The 17968-nt window shown below is 35.7% G+C and overlaps 1 protein-coding gene across 26 annotated transcripts in view; it reads right to left on the reverse strand.

Annotated features, from left to right (window-relative positions):
* NARS2 (asparaginyl-tRNA synthetase 2, mitochondrial) overlaps positions 1 to 17968 on the reverse strand; it is a 138897-nt gene that overhangs the window by 79125 nt on the left and 41804 nt on the right. For 24 of the 26 annotated variants that reach the window (NR_189155.1, NR_189156.1, NR_189154.1 and 21 more), the window contains one exon: positions 13750 to 13844. The exons of the other annotated variants lie outside the window; for them this stretch is intronic. Coding sequence is in view for 20 of the 24 variants with exons in the window: in NM_001425308.1 (NP_001412237.1) it covers positions 13750 to 13844 (95 nt within the window). In the remaining 4 variants the exon portion in view is untranslated. The remainder of the gene's footprint in view (positions 1 to 13749; positions 13845 to 17968) is intronic. 26 annotated transcript variants of the gene reach the window in all.

Consider the following 17968-nt stretch of genomic DNA (forward strand, 5'->3'; position numbering starts at 1 on the left):
TTATCTGGAATATGAAGTATGCTGCAGCAGAAAATTAGTGACTGACACACAGAACCTTGGTGAGACTGGGGGTAGGAGAAATGGGGATGCATTAAGAGTTTACATATGAACAGTAAATGCTCCCCCACCCACCCATCAGCATAGCTAGAAGCCAGATGTCCTCACCACTCAGGGAACAAAGGATCTTTCTCTAAAGCATTGGTTCTCAGCATCAGCATCACCTGGTGGCCTGTGACACAGGTTGGGAGGTCCCACTCCCAGGGGTTCTGATTCAGTAGTGTTTGCTAGGGGTTGGGGGTAGGAGAAAATGGGAAGTGACTGCTAACGGGTTTGGAGTTTCTTTTTGGAGTGATAAAAATGTTACAAAATTAGGTAATGTTGACGGTTATACAACTTTGTGATCATAGTAAAAACGACTGAATTGTTTACTTTTATTTCTTTTAAGAGACAGGGTCTGGTTCTGTTACTCTGGCTGGAGTGCAGTGGTGTGTTTATAGCTCACTGCAGCCTTGAATCCTGGGCTCAAGCAATCCTCCTGCCTCAGCCTCTAAAGTAGCTGGGACTACAGGGGTGCACCACCATGCCTGGCTGATTAAAAAAAAAAAAACAAAACAATTTAAGAGGGAGTCTTGCTATTGTCCAGTCTAGTCTCAAACTCTAGGCTCAAGCCGTCCTCTTGCCTCGGCCTCCCAAAGCCCTGAGATTACAGCCCTGAGCCACTGCACCTGGCCTGAACTGTGTACTTTTAATGGATGAATTTTATGGTATGTGAATTATATCTCAATAAAGTTGTTCTTTAAAAAAATCATTTACTCTTCTGTATATATCTCTTACAGAAACCCACCAGATAGACTTCAACAACTACAGAATCATGTCTCCTCTTTGTCTTCCCTGTACTAAACATATCCAGTATCTTCAACCATTTCTCTGGGCCATGAAAAGTTGGGCTATAAAGGAACAACTTCTTCATGTAAAGGTTTATAAAAGATTCTAAGTATTTGGAAGTTGATAAAGACACAGGGCAGAAAAGCTACAGTTTTCTATCTTTGGATAATGTGGCTAAATAGAATTTATTCAAGTATAATATATCAAACATGACATAAAAGTACAGAGACATCCCAGAGCCAAACACAAACAACATGTATTAGGATAACTAAAAAATTGTACACCATAAAATGCTCTACAATAATGGGGAGAAAGAGCTACATTAACTGGATTTCTGTTTGTCCAAGAATACAAAAGGAATAGAATCTACATCAAATATAACAGCCAATGGTCATTAAACATGAATGACATTTAAAAATGCACTTCCGTGTAATCACTCTACTGATAAGGTTACTTCTAAATTCAATTTGACGTAGACAAGGCAAAATTTTCTTGACATATGCTCTTCTTGCCCTCAGGACAGTAATCACACTCCTAATTTCTCGTTTAATGCTCATCTTGCTCATCAGACTCTATAGGGTCACGAAGGTTGAAATTATATCTGTCTTGTTCATGTCTACTTTTTGATACACACAGTTTCTCAATAAATTGAACTGAGACTGATTTTTGAGCCCTGGATCAGGCAACATGATAGTAACAGAAGCTAAGACAACAAAGAGGAACAAGATACAGATTAAGGACTTTATAGGCTAATGGGAAGATAAGATAATAATTTCAATATTTTCTGATAAATAGAATTGATAGAAACCCCTTTCCAATAGATAACTGTCTTTATTTTGTATTAATAGTTACAAAATTAAATAAGACAATCCCTAAATTGAAAAGCTCACAGTCAAAGCTATAAAGAAATAAACCAACGATTCCATGTTACAAAATAGGCACAAAGCAACATGGGCACACAGAAGGACATTTAAACAAGGAGGAGGTGATGGTGGTGGTTAAGGTTCTGGGTGACATCATTTTTAAGCTGAGTTTAGCCTAATAGGCAGGAGTTAGCCAGACAAAGGCATGGCGAAAGCAAATTCCAGGCAAAAAAACAGCATATGCAAAGGAATACAAATGGGATGATGTGTGAAATGGGATGATGTGCTTAGAATATTATAAGCAGTTTAGGAGAGCTGAAGCAAAGGGACATGGAAGCAAATGAGTGAAAGGATTCAAAGGGTATGGAACAAGAATTTAGAATGATTTCCATAAATCTCATCTGACAAACAGGAAGGTTGGTAGTACCATTTCCTGAGACAGGGAATTCAGGAAAAAACAGATTTAGGGAAAAAGATGATGAATTTCATTTTGAACATGTTGAGTTTAAGGTGCTTGTTCCTCAACCAAAGAACACAACTGGCATTCAGTTCATAGGTGGGGAGCTGAGCAAAGAATCCATGTTAGAAATAGGAATTTCACAAGAGCAATACTTTGACTACCACCTCGTATTCATCCAGGTTTTTACTTTAGTATTTCCACTCCAACAATTTTTCATTAAGACCTCCAATTCTTTATGTTCAACCATTTTTTCCATTATAACCCTCTACCTCCATTTCCTCACTTCTTACCCAGCAGATTCCTTGGTCCATCATTATAACCTTCTAAGTCTATTTACTTCCATCAAATTCACCTAGTGATACCCAACCCCTGGTTAACTAAAATATCTACATTCTATTTTAACCCAGGGAAGCTAAATATTCCTACTTAAAAGCCATTGCACTTGCTGATCGATCTGCCATAAACACTTGCCTTCTGTCAATACTATACAGAAAATGCAATTGGCAAGGAGTTTATGACGAAGTTCCTCATTTATACCGATAGTCTGTTAATTCATATTTCTATCCACACAGGGTTAACTTTGAACTTAATTAATACACCCTTTAAAGAAGTGTATTTATCATCATTCACACACATTCAGTTAACAATAACAATAAAGATCCTAGGTTTCACGGTTATATAATTTCCATGAAGTAAAAGGAATTATTAACATAGACTTAACTCCCATTGTGGGCTCAACACTATAGTACAGTCGGCCCTCTGCATTTACAGATTCAACCGACTTTGGATTGAAAATATTTGGAAAAAACAAAAAATAATGCAACAATAAAAAATAATACAAATTTTAAAAATACAGTATAACAACTATTCACATAGCATTTAATGGTTTTAGGTATTATAAGAAATCGAGATTAATTTAAAATATATGGGAGGATGTGCATAGGTTATATGCAAATACGTGGGCATCTGCAAGTTTTGGTATCTGGAGAGGGATCCTGGAACCAGTCCCCCTCAGATATATGGAGACGAACTGTATAAACCAGTAGAGGAAAATTATAAAAGAATGAGAATTTATGCTTTACAAATTCAGTTTAACTACTACTTGCTAGTGATTATGAGGACATGGAGCTGAGACAGACTTGTCTTCAAGGGATTTAAAACCTTTGAGAATTACATATGAAAAAGAACTACAAAATGGCTAAATGTTAAAAACAAACAATTTCTTTTTTTTTTTTGACACGGAGTCTCGCACTTTCACCCAGGCCAGAGTGCAGTGGCGCAATCTCAGCCCACTGCAAGCTCCGCCTCCTGGGTTCACGCCATTCTCCTGCCTCAGCCTCTGGAGTAGCTGGGACTACAGGCGCCCGCCACCACGCCCGGCCAATTTTTTGTATTTTGAGTAGAGATGGGATTTCACGGTGTTAGCCAGGATAGTCTCCATCTCCTAACTTTGTGATCTGCCCACCTCGGCCTCCCAAAGTGCTAGGATTACAGGCATGAGCCACTGCACCCGGCCAGAATTTTTCTTTATGACGTGAAATGAATGAGTACTATAAGAGAGCAGAAAAAGATAAAAATAATTTCTATGAGAAAAGCAGGAAGAGAGTCAAGTAGAAAGTCGTTATTTCAGTTGAGCCTTTAGGAATGACCACATATGGAAAACGCAATCTAATGCTATAGAGAACAGCATCAGAAACGCAAACATGCAAGACACGAATCATAATCAAAAAGATCTCAAAAATCAAATGACTATAAATGAACAAAATTCAGTATCAAGGGAATGAAGAATGAGAAAGTCTTATAAGCAGATGGGAAGTCAGTTTCACACCCAATTGTAAAGCTTTAACTCAGATTCACATGATGACATTCCCACCACAGCCACAAAACAGGGTAAGAGCATCCTGAGTACGAATTTTTCATGGCTTTTGAGCTCATTATCTGAATTGATTAAATAATCGAAGGGAGTCAATTTAGAACTGCATGTACCAATCACAAACTAATCAATTAACCAAACAGGAATGAAATCAGCCCAAAGCCCAAGTTGATTGCCCCAAACTGAAAATAACTAAGTTTTTTCCTGATTATAAAAGTAATGAACACTGATTTTTCAAATCTGAAAAAATAAACTTGAGGAAGAAAATAAAAATTAGCAGAAATAGCCATTTTTACAAGTTGAATATTGTTATATATTCTTCCAATCTTTTTCTATAAATATATGTATACAGTTAAAAAACCAGAATCATACTCTACCTGTTTCATAACCACTTCTTAAAAAACAGCATGATGTAAAGACTTATGATCAATCTTAATAGCTGTACAGTAATCCATTATATGAACAAATCATAAATAATTTAACCTTTAATACACTGCCAGGACTCATTATACCCAATTTTAGTTGTTGAGTTTTTTTTTTTTTTGAGACGGAGTTTCACTCTTGTCGCCCATGCTGGAGTGCAGTGGCACGATCTCAGCTCACTGCAACCTCCGCCTCCTGGGTTCACGCGATTCTCCTGCCTCAGCTTCCCGAGTAGCTGGGACTACAGGCGCATGCCACCACGCCTGGCTAATTTTTTTAGTAGAGACGGGGTTTCACCATGTTAGCCAGGATGGTCTCGATCTCCTGACCTTGTGATCCGCCTGTCTTGGCCTCCCAAAGTGCTGGGATTACAGGTGTGAGCCACCACGTCCAGCTAGTTTTTGAGTTTCTTGGTCAAACAGTTATATTTATAAAAACAGCTAATATTTTTAAAATATTTTAAATATTTATAAAAAAATAATAATTCACGACTCATATACTCTTAAAGGTTGTATTAGTTTCCTAAGGCTGCCATGAGAAATTGCTATATTCTGTTGGCTTAAAACAACAGAAATGTATTCTCTCAGCTGTGAGGCTACAAATCTGAAATCAAAGTGCCAGCAAGGTTGTGCTTCCTCTGAAGATTCTAGGGAAGAATCCTTCCTTGCCTCTTCCTAGTTTCTGGTGGCTCTCAGCAATCCTAGGCATCACTCAAATCTCTGCTTTTGGCTTCACAGAATGCTCTGTCTTAGCATTCTTCCCTGTGTGTGTGTCTCCTACATCTCTATATCCAAATCTCTCTCTCCTTTCTCTTATAAAAATACCAGTCACTGGATTTAGGGCACACCCTAATCCAGTATGACATCATCTTAGCTTGATTACATCTGCAAAGACCCTGTTTCTAAAAAAGGTTGCAATCACAGGTTAGGACTTGTCTTTTTTCAGGACACGGTTCAAGCAACTGTGGAGGTTTATCCATAAAAACAGAAATTTATATTAAATTTTAACAACAGAATAAAGCCCACTGAATCCTTCCATAAATCTAAGCTATATATGGGGTTTTGGTGTTATTTTTCCTGTGTCTTAAAACATTTTGCCATTTCATCATCTTAGTAATTATTCATCATTACTAATTGTTCCTAATTATGTTAAGTAAGAGTAAAATAGTAAGAAAATAGGCCTGGCACAGTGGTTCATGCCTGTAATCCCAACACTTTGGGAGGCCGAGGCGGGTGGATCACCTGAGGTCAGGAGTTCGAGAACAGCCTGGCCAACATGATGAAACCCCGTCTCTGCTAAAAACACAAAAACATTAGCCAGGTGTGGTGGTGGACACCTGTAATCCCAGCTACTCGAGAGGCTGAGGCAGGAAAATCGCTTGAACCCGAGACGCAGGGGTTGCAGTGAGCTGAGGTCAGTGCCACTGCACTCCAGCCTGGGCGACAGAGCAAGACTCTGTCTCCAAAAAAAAAAAAAAAAAGTAGAAGAATGATGGGTGCGAAGAGGAAAATGCAAAAGTAAGATAAATTGTCAACATTATATCAATTTGTTTTCTTATTCTCTCTCTTTCTTTTTTTTTTTTTTAAGAGGTGGGGTTTCATTCTGTTGCCCAGGCTGGAGTGTAGTGTTGTGATCACAGCTCACTGCAGTCTACAACTCCTGGGCTCCAGCAATCTTCTTGCCTTACTCTCCCAAGTAGCTAGGACTACAGGCACATGCCACCATGCTTGGTTTTTGGTTTTTTTGTTTGTTTGTTTGTAGAGACTAGGTCCCACTATGTTGCCTAGGATGGTCTTGAACTAGTGGCTTCAAGTGATCCTCCTGCCTCAGCCTCTCAAAGTGTTGAGATTGCAGGCTTAAGCCACTGCGCCAGGCCTGTGTCATCTTTAAAGAAGGTATAAGAAAAGCCCGGGGCCGGGCGCGGTGGCTCACGCCTGTAATCCCAGCACTTTGGGAGGCCGAGGCGAGCGGATCACGAGGTCAGGAGATCGAGACCATCCCGGCTAAAATGGTGAAACCTCGCCTCTACTAAACATACAAAAAATTAGCCGGGCGTAGTGGCGGGTGCCTGTAGTCCCAGCTACTTGGGAGGCTGAGGCAGGAGAATGGCGTGAACCCGGGAGGCGGAGCTTGCAGTGAGCCGAGATCCCGCCACTGCACTCCAGCCTGGGCGACAGAGCGAGACTCCGTCTCAAAAAAAAAAAAAAAAAAAAGAAAAGCCCGGATACATGGTTGTAGCCTTTTTGTAGTTTTTGCAGATCACAGTTCAGAATTCAGATCTTTATTTTTCACTCACACTAACAAAGAGAATTAAAATGATAAAGGTATTTCATAGTTATTAGACAAATCAGAACATGAATGCAAAGAGGCAGCAACAATCTCCTCCCCTTTTTGTTGCCCATGCTGGAGTGCAGTGGCATAATCATAGCTTACTGCAGCCTCAATCTCCTGGGCTTAAGCGCCCTCCTGCCTTAGCATCGCAAGTAGTTTGGAATACTGGTATGTGCCACTACATCCAGCTAATTTTTTTTTTTTTTTTTTTGGTAGAGATAAGGTTTCGTGTGTTGCCCAAGCTGGTCTCAAACTTCTGGTCTCAAGTGATCCTTCCACCTCAGCCTCCCAAAGCACTGGGATTATAGGCATGAGCCACTGTGCCTGGTTGACAATCTACTCTCTAATGATGATGGTAAAATTGGTTGTGTAAGTGAAATCTCAGACAAAGAGCTTTCAGATAATGATACCTATCTAAGTGAATTTTCTCAAACATAAGAACTGTTAAGTGAAAAATACATTTCAAGTCAAAAAACAAATTCAGTACTTCCATCCAATGAGTCATTCCACAAGAAGGATTTCATTATGTAATAATTTATAAGAATTTGGACCATCCCATTTTCTAAAAGGATATGTGGCAATATTCCTTCATCATTTATGATATTTGTACACCAAAATTTACTTACTAAGGTTAATAAGTGAACAAATGCTGAAGCAAGTATTTTATAAAGGTGTTTAGGAAAAAAAAAGATGATGTAGAAACAGAAGAATTCATTAATTTGATCATTCTAATTGGTGTACAATCTAAAAATAAAAATGTTTTGCAATTATGGGGCAAAAAAGATGGCCACTCTTCCTTCAACAAAATTATAAGGGGACAAAATACTCAAAAGCATTTTTTTTATAATGTAAGTATAAGTTTCAGAAGTAATAATAAGTTAGAGCCTATTAAAGATGTATTAAAAATCTGGAATCAGTATTCAAAGGACAGCATATGTTCCAGGTTCATGCATGGCAGTATTCAGCAGTTTGCTGAATTCAATAGGCTATGCCCATCTGGAGTACTTTCAAAACCCAGAAAAGTGAAAATGAAAATCTGAGTTTGCCAACATCAAGGATGTGAAAAGAAAATCCACCAAACAGGGAAAAAATATTTGCAAATCATATATTTAATAAAGGACTTGTATGCAGAATATATAAAGAACTCTCAAAACTCAATAAAAAGACAATCCAATTTTAAAAATAACTCAAGGACTTACATAGACATTTCTCCAAATAAAATACATACAAATGGCCAACAGGCACATGGAAAGACGCTCCACACCTTTTCATGTGCTCATTGACTTTAATGATGAAAACCCATCATTAGTAGTCAGGGGAATGCAAGTCAAAACCATAATGAGATACTACTTTACATTTGTCAGAACAGCTACAATAAAAAGACAATAATAAGCATTTGCAAGGATGTGGAGAAACTGGAATGCTTTTGCTATTGCTGGTGGGACTGTAAAATGGTCCAGCCTCTGTGGAAAACAGACTAGCAATTCCTCACACAGTTAAACATAGTTACTGCATGACCCATTAATTTCGCTCCTAGGTATCTACCAAAGAGAAATGACAACATGTCCACACAAAAACTTCCACCCAAATGTTCACAGCAACATTACTTACAAGAGCCAAAAGTAGAAACAACCCAAATGCTCATTATCTGATAAATGAAGCAAAATATTATATGCCCATGTAATGGAATGCTATTTGGGAATAAAAAGGAATGAAGTACTGATACATGCTGCAAGTTGGATGAACTTTGAAAACATTTGCTAAATGAAATAAACCAGTCACAAAATACAATTTACTGTGTGATTCTATCTATATACGATAAATATTCCAGAATAGGTAAACTCATAGAGAGAGAACTTAATTAGTGGTTGCCCAGGGGTGGGGGCAAAGAAGAGGATAGGGAGTGAATGCTAATGGAAAAAATTTGTCTTTTGGGAGTGATAAAACCTTAAAATTATAAATATTGGAAAGTATTCTAAAATTATGTCAGTGATACTTGAATATCTTCAAAATATGCTAAAACCCACTGAATTGCACACTTCAAATTGGTGAATTTTAGGGCATATACGTTCTCTCTCAATATAACAATTTAATTTTTTTGACTTGCTATGTTTAAATTCTCCTGAAAATTTCTAATAAAGTTGATCTTCACTGTCCCTTTATTTATACTTCTGTGTATTAACTACAAGATGGCTTTAAAATATTTTTTAAAAATAAGGCCCATTAGCCCCAGATGATAAATGATGATGACTATTTTTCTTGGTATACTTAGGTTTAACAAATCTTGAATGGACATTTAGATTATTAGTAATTTTTCACTATTATAAATAAAAGTTGCTTTCAACATTTTTGTTTAGGCTTCTCTGCAGAGTTGTCAGATCATTTCCTTAAGAAAAATTTCTAGAAATGAAATTCTGGGTAAAAAGGTATTCCTCTAGAAAAACTGTACTAATTTATTCCAACAACAACAGTCAAGAGAAAAGCATCAGTTTTAACCTAAAATATGCTTGACTTCATGGCTAAGCATTAAAATGCCCAAGAAGGAAACAAATCCCTCTAATAATAATAAACATTCTTTCTTTTTAGGCTGAGCCTTTCTCCAATTCTGACTTTAACTGATGAGAAATGGAATACTTCATTATGTGACATTTCTTAATTGCAGGTTTTACAATTTAAATCTCTCTTGGAATGAACTTACCACTTATAAATTATATTCATAAGCAAAATGCAATGAAAACTCACTTAGCTTTCTCTAGTTTAAAAAAAAAAACTCTGTCTACTGAAAGGTTTAAAAGCAATAATCTCTCAGTAACAGCAAACATATCCAGTGACCCAATTTTGGCTTCTAAATACCATCTTCTAATAAAAGGAACTAGGGCTCTTTGGAGAAATAACTAATTTTTAGGACTAGGGAAGGGAAAATAAAAAATAAGCCTGGGAAATCTGCCAAAACTTGGAAACAACCAAAAGATGTCTTTCAACAGGTGAACTGATAAATTGTGTTACCTCCAGGCAACAGAATATTATTTAGCACTACAACAAATGAGCTATCCAGCCATGAAAAGTCCTGGAGGAACTTTAAATTCATATTACTAAGCAAAAGAAGCCAATCTAAAAGGGCTCTATGGTGTATGATTCCAACTACGTGACATTCTGGAAAAGGCAAAACTATGGAGATGGTAAAACGATCAATGGTTACCAGTGGTTAGGAAGGAAGAATGGCTAGGCAGAGCATAGAAAAGTTCTAGGGCAGCAAAAACTATTCTGTATGTTACTATAATGGTGAACGTATGTCATCTGTCCAAAAGCATAGAATGCAGACAACTAGGAGTGAATGCTCGTAAAAGCTATGGACTTTGGAGGAATAATAATATGTCAGTGTAACTTTACTGACTATAAAAAAAATAAAAACAAATAAAGGTGGTGAATGAATGTCAAACAACAAACAAAGCTGAGGCATCTTGCAGTAGCAGAGAATAAGGAATTAGTCAAAGTACAGGGGCGTATCAAAGGGGCGTAAGAATCAATCTGAATGAGTTCCCAACAACAAAAACTAAAACAGTTTTAAGCATCAAAGTAAATAACACAGCACTGAATTATAACCCAAACTATGAAATATACAAGTCTATTAAGATATAAATGATTACACAAATAAAAAATAAAGAAGGATAAAGAGACAACAAATTTTCATATAGAATTCCAAACATTCTCCCTCCTGCGGGTAGTTCTTAACTCCATCTCCCTCTTCCCAAACCCCCATCCCCAGTGAGGGGAGACTAGACTTAGTGACTCACTTCCAAAAATTAGAGTAAGAAAAGGGAAAAAATAGTGTATTTTCAGTAAAGAAACTTGGCAAACACTACCTTATCCAAGTAATGAAGGTTAACATCATCATATGGATATCACGTATCCACTGATACAATGTGACGGGACAAGCCTTCGCCTCTGTGGTATTCTTTCAAAATACCCAAATAACCCTAGTCTAATCATGAGAAAAATGTCAGACACACCCAGATTAGAGTACATTCCACAGGTCGTAAAAAAGAAAAATTGAGAAACTGTAATAGAATGGAAGAGACTGGGGAAACATGACAACTAAGTTTTATGTGGTACCCTGAATTGGATCCTGGAAAAAGAATAAGGGTATTGATGGAAAAGCTGGTGAAATCCAAATAAAGTCTAGAGCTTCATTAATAGTAATGTGATAACATTTAATTCTTGGTTTTGACAAATGTATCATGGTCATGGAAGATGTTTACAATGGGGGAAACTGGATAGAGAATACACAAAACTATGCATTATCTTTTCAACTTTCTATATATTAAAAATTATTCCAACATAGAATATTTACTTTAAAAAAAGCTTTAAAATGGAACCATAAACCCACTAAAGCAACAGAGATATCCTTTTGGAAAATGTTAACTGTCTAAATTTAACTACCATTTTCTCCATTTTAAAAGTCTGTTAATACTCTGGTTTCTCTTCAGATTGCATAAATCTTTTGCCTTTTACAAAGTCTGTTAAATTGAATTCAAGAAAAAACAAAGCTGAGGGAAAAAGGACTAACAATTTCTTATTGGAGAATAAATCATACTTTAATCAAAAACATTATGTTCTGCATATTAATAGTCCTAGAACTGTGCATATTAAACTAGGAACATTTGAATGACAGTAGTACAAATACTTCATGGCACACTAAAAAATACAAAACCTAGTATTCTACCAATTTAATCTTCCGTCAAGTTTCACAGAACACTGTGTTCTGTGGTTCACTGCGCTTTACTGGGAAAGAGGCATATTTAATACACTAGTGGTATTATAATAGAGAAACAAACATTTGCTAAGTTTATATATTTCACATATGACACTTCTGAGGGATGAGACACCTTGCTTCTAACTTTATAAATAATAGAAATGAATACTAAAAGGCTGTTAAGAAAGGTTATCCAAACCTTGAATATAAGGCCAAAAGCTGTAGCCTTAAAAAGGTGATGTCCTTTCAAGGTATTACACAATGAGGGGACAAAGGCCCATTCGACGATTACTTAATTACTTAGGGAAAGGGAAATGTACTTGTTCCATTAGTCTATTTAATATTGAATTAAATAACCCGTATTAAGTGAAGTTACACGCTAATTTACAGATCTTTCCCAGCAGAGTTGCAAATAACTCTACCAGGTAGAAGAGATAATCCCAAAGTTTAGGGTGTGTTGGTCCTGTAGGACATTAACCAGTTTATAACTGACCTAGCACTCTTATTCCAACTATTAAAATGTCTATAAATACAGAGGTCTTCAGATGCTCTTTGAAACAGTTTTCTATTTTACTTGTTTCCTCTGTAATATAATCAACTGAATGAAAACTTTGATACAAATTCATTTTGTATTTGAATGAGTCATGTTTTTAATTTTTTTAAATTATAATTCCGTAGGCATAAGAACATTCCATGACAGGCTTGACACGGCCTTTCCTACATCCAGATCTGCAAATCCTATAATCTCACCATGTTATTATGACACTTTTTCTGCATAGTATTCTGCTAATATTGCCAGTCATTTGGTTATTGGAACTATCAAATAACATATTTTTGTTTCAAAGATAAATCAGAAAAGAACATGTTACTTTCAAGACCATCTTTATTCCACCACTGACTTTCCATTCTTCTAGCAAAGTACAAAAGTAAATATGCAAACTATTCTATTACATTTTCCTTGAGTTTTCTCATCTGTGCATTTTTAAAACAATGGAAAACACCAAAAGATTCCCTTCCTTTCAAGTGAGCTATTTCCAGAAAAGATTTTTTTAAGTCCTAATCTCTATAATGAGAAAATATTTAAAGAAAAAGATACATAAAGAAAACTCAGTACTTGATGAGTCTGCATTAACAAATTACCCCCAGAGGCCAGGCTCAGTGGCTCCTGCTTGTAATCCCAGTGCTTTGGGAGGCTGAGGCGGAAGAACCACTTGAGTCAAGAGTTTGAGACCAGCCTAGGACACATGGTGAGAACCCACCTCTACAAAAAATTTTAAAAATTAGCTAAGTGTGCTGGCACATGCCTTGAGTTCCAGTTACTTGGGAGGCCTAAGGCAGGAAGATCACTTGAGCCTAGAGTTTGAGATCAGCCTTGGTACATAGCAAGACCCCATCTCTACAAACAATTAGCCAGGTTTGGTGGTATATACCTGTAGTCCCAGCTACTCAGAAGGCTGAGGCAGGAGAATCACTTGAGCCCAGGAGTTTGTGAGCTATGACTGTGCAACTACACTCCAGCCTGGGCAATAAGCGAGATCCCACCTCTAAAAAAAATAAAAATAAATGGGAATTACCCACAGAATTACAGAATATAAGATTTAGACAGGATTTTAAAGGTCTTCTTTCTCAATCCCGTTTTAAAGAAAAGGTAGGCCCCAAGGAATACAGTGACTTTCCAGAGGTCTGACAGTTGCTAAAATTCATTTGATCTGACTTAAAAGATGTAATTTGCTGTACACCTCTCAAAATGTAGGTATGAGTTAATTTTATTTAAACCAATTACTGAAAAAAAAATTATTCCGTCTGTTTCAAATACTACTCTCTTTAAAATGAAATAGACTAATACCCGGTTCAGGTATAAACTATAAATTGCCTTTACTTCCATAAATATGATTAATTTAAATAAATTCTGATTACATGTTTGGGATTCAAGCAAGAAAAATTAGTAAAAAGAAAAAAATGACAACTTTGTATTTTCAGTGTTACATTTTTCACTAAAAACAAAAGTCTGTACTACAAGTAAGAAGCTTAAATATTTTGGAAAATTCAAGTGAACTAATGATAAAGACTAATTTCAACTTTTAGGTTTGAGCATGGGAAGGGAAGCACTCTCAACCAAACCATAATATATCAAAGCAAAAGAGAAAGGAAAATTTCATACCCTGACATCACTTCTAGATGAAGTTGTCCTGAGACAGTTAAGAAAGCAGGAACATTGAAGAAATTCTCCTCAGGTACCTTAAGTTTGCCTGAAGGCTGCAAATCAAAAACATAAGCCACAAAAAACTATTAAATGTTTTGCTTTGCATTTCACATTCATATACATGTCACAACTAAAAATCACAATGCAATTAAATCTATGTGAAGGCAGGTTGTTCTCAGGAAAATAAAGGTAGTTACACATCTAAGACAAAACGCCAGCTTGGAAAGTGCTAATAAAGGCAAGGAAGTTTGTTCCATATTTTCAAAACATACAATAACCAAAGGACCAAAGTACCTTTGTCACAAAATATACTTCCCCCTAAAAAGTGATTCTGATTAAGAGGCAATCTAAGGCAAGAAATTATGAATTAATTTTTAATGTGAAGAATTACATAACCTCAAAAGGTTGACTTATGATTGAGACTTAATTATCTCAAGAGAATAGCCTCTGGAACATGCGAGGTCATATTTATTATTAAAATATTAATAGTAATGCTTTTAACACAGATTTTTATAAACACATTATGAACTTTCAAAAACAGTATTTCATTTAATTGTCACCATAACTAGGTAGCAGGAAAAGCATGACTCTATCTTTAAAAGATACACTGAGCAACAAAACCTTTATGAACTTACAATATAGAAAGGGTGATTATTCCATCTGAAATGAGTAGGAAACAAGCCATTCAACATTTGTTAAGAGTTAAGCTAAAACAAACTACCTGGAGGCTAAACACAAACAGTATAATAAAGAAAGCTTCTGAATCAAGTTATGAGTATCATATCCTTTTCTGGGGAAGAAAGTTACACTTGTTTTTGTTGATTTAAACACAGGGTCTCATTATGTTGCCCAGGCTGGTCTTGATCTTCTGGGATCAAGAAATCCTCCCACTTCAGCCTCCCAAAGTGCTGGGATTTATAGGCATGAGTCCCTGAGCCCAGCTTCTTGTATTTTAAACTGTGCACTTATTTGAAAATGTTTTAGTGTAAAGGTGTAGTCACTGTAAAAGCAATATAGCCAATTTAAAATATGTAATGGAGAATGTAAGACTCTTTTAACAGGCTTAGTACCAAATATTAAATTATGGCAACACAGGAAATAAAGTTATTTAATTTCATTGGTTGTTCTAAAAATACTGCATATCATGTATCGGTATCTGTGGATAAATAAAAAATGTACTGTAAAAATTATCAGTTGAATCTTTTATTTTTATAATAACTGCCTTTTTTTTTCAAACTTACTTTGATACTAGTCAGAGATCGATGAATGCCTTTTTTATGAAAAAGTCCATCTTTAAATCTCATTATCAATGAAAGGGTATTGCTTCCAAAGATATTTAGTACTCAAGACTAAATACTTGATCTGATATATGTTAAGATTTTAAAATAAAAGATCTGTTCTCTGATATTTCTTCATTATTTACTAAAGAATTGCTTTCCGAAATGAGGTCCAACAAATTTATAAGACTACCATACTTTCTCCTTTCCTTCACCACTTTAGTCTATAATTTGTACTAATTTAACTTCACTTCAGATGGTTTCTCTCATTTCTTGTATTTATATAAAAAAAAAGTCTGGTCTTAATAATAAGATTTATTTATTTATTTTTGAGACAGAGTCTCACACTGTCGCCCAGGCTGAAGTGCAGTGGCGCGATCTTGACTCACTGCAACCTCCACCTCCCAGGTTCAAGTGATTCTCCTGCCTCAGCCTGCCAGTAGCTGGGATTACAGGCATTGGCCAACATGCCCAGCTAATTTTTGTATTTTTAGTAGAGATGGGGTTTCACCATGTTGGCCAGGATGGTCTCCTGACCTCAAGTGATCTGCCGGCCTCAGCCTCCCAAAGTGCTGAGATTACAGGCATGAGCCACCGTGCCCGGCCTATGACTAGATTTTAGATTTTCATTTATCAGCACTTGTACAGAATGATTTCTGATTTTTCTTACATTTCTTTAATTCAACTTATTTAAAACATACCACTACTTCATTATGCTTTCCAATGTCATGTTAGCGTTTACGTAACAAACTGATACTACCTTACTATAAATTACTTTTCTTTTATATTACAATTAAAGTATTATACTGATTTTTTAAACTTCCCTTTGTATTATCACCTATATATTTTATCTCAGAATATTAAAGAGGGTATATAAAATATTGGTTGTAAAAAGTAATTACAAAAAGTGATATCAGCAAATATGGCAGGATAGGTAGCTCCAAAGGACTGTCCTGCCACAGAAAAATAAAAGAAAAAAAATGAACAAAACTGTCAGAATCAATTGTGGGAACTCTCGAAGAGAGTTAAAGGTTTATAGCAATCAAGCAAATGCTGAGCCAAAAAAAAGGCAAATTAAAAATGGTAGACTCCACCCAACAGCAGCAGAATATACGTTTTTTTCAAGTGCACAGGGACCATTCTCCAGAGTAGACCATATAATAGGCCATAAAACAGTCTCAATAAATCTTAAAAAACTAAAATCACACAAGGTATCTTCTTTGATAACTATGGAACGAAACTAGAAATGTACAATAAGGGGTTGCGGTTACTAGGGAAAAAAGTTTGGTGGTTCCTTAAAAAGTTAAAATTGAGTTACTAAATGGCACAGTAATTCCATTCCTAGGTACATACCAAAAAGAATTAAAATGAGGTACATAAACAAACACTTGCACACAACTGTTCAAAATAGCACCATTCACAACAGCCAAAAGGTAAAACCACCTAAATATCCATCAATGGAAAAATGAATAAACAAAATATGATATATACATAGAATGGAATATCATTCAGCCATAAGGAATGTATATACCTATATATTAAAATTAAATGTTTTAGCATGTACTTATGTATGTTAAAACATAGATGAACAATGAAAACATGCTAAGTGAAAGAAGACAGACTTAAAAGGCTATGTATGATTACATTTATATGAAACATACAGAATAGGTAAATCCATAGAGACAGATGGATGAGAGTCATGGTTTGTGTAGAGGGGAAAATGGGATGTAACTACTAAATGGGCACAGGGTTTTCTTCTGGGGTGGTAAAAATGTTTGGAACTTAACAGAGGTGGCAGTTGTAAAATACTATGAATGTACTAAATGCCACTGAAATGTACCTTTTAAAATGCTTAATTTTATGACATAAATTTCACCTCAATTCTTGAAAGTAATTATTGAATCTTAGTAGCTTCAAAAACTACCAACCTAGGATTGCAAATTTAAGATTTAGGATTGTAATCTTAAATTTGTAATCTTACGTACTTATGGTAGTGATAAAGAAACAATACAATATATGAATTAAACACCCAACTTTGTGACTTTATCAGTGGGGAAGGATTTCTTTAACAAAAGCTCCAAATTGCCAACGATAAAAGGAAAAACTGATGAATTTATATATGTTAAAATTAAGAATTTCTATTTAATAAAGGAAGATATAGGCAAAGTTAACAGACAAATGACAGATTATGAATGAAATATTTGCAACATCTAAAACCGCCAAGTGATTAATGGACAGAATATATAAGGAACTCCTGCCAAGAAAACAAAAAAAGAGAAAATAATCTGCTCCCCAAATGAGAAAGAAGATATACAGAAATGAAGACTCAAATGGCTAATGTGAAAATAATTTAAATGAAAGCTGCTGAAACTTTAAATTACTCTGAGCCTTGAATAAAATGTGATTGATTGTAAGACCTAGCTCATACGGGCAAGTCACTACAACTTTTGTTTCTTCCTATTACAGATTAACCTTCTTTCTTATTTTTCTTGCCCTGTAAAACGTTGTGAAAGATTAAATGGTGCCCCTTACCTCTTAGTTACTAATTCTTTGTTATAGATTAACATCCTTCCTTTTTCATGTACCCAGCTCAGACCAGATGGCGAAAGGCCCCATGACTACCAAATTGATAGGGATGCAATTTTAAATATATCTTTCCTGAAAAAGAATAAGCTGTAACCAATCAAACTGCTGTAACTCATAAATCAGCATTGTATTAAAAATGTGGTAATACTTGTAAACTTCTTTGCTTCTACTTATATAAGTGAAGCCTCAGCTTCTCCACTTCTCAGCAATGACCCAACTACTCTGGAGTCTTGTTTTTTCTGGGTGGCCAGTCTCAAATTTTGCACTTGAACAAACTCTTTTAAAATTGGATTCTGGGCCTCTTGATTATTTCA

The sequence above is a fragment of the Homo sapiens genome, chromosome 11, assembly GCF_000001405.40.
Source record: "Homo sapiens chromosome 11, GRCh38.p14 Primary Assembly".
Classification (NCBI taxonomy): Eukaryota; Metazoa; Chordata; class Mammalia; order Primates; family Hominidae; genus Homo; species Homo sapiens.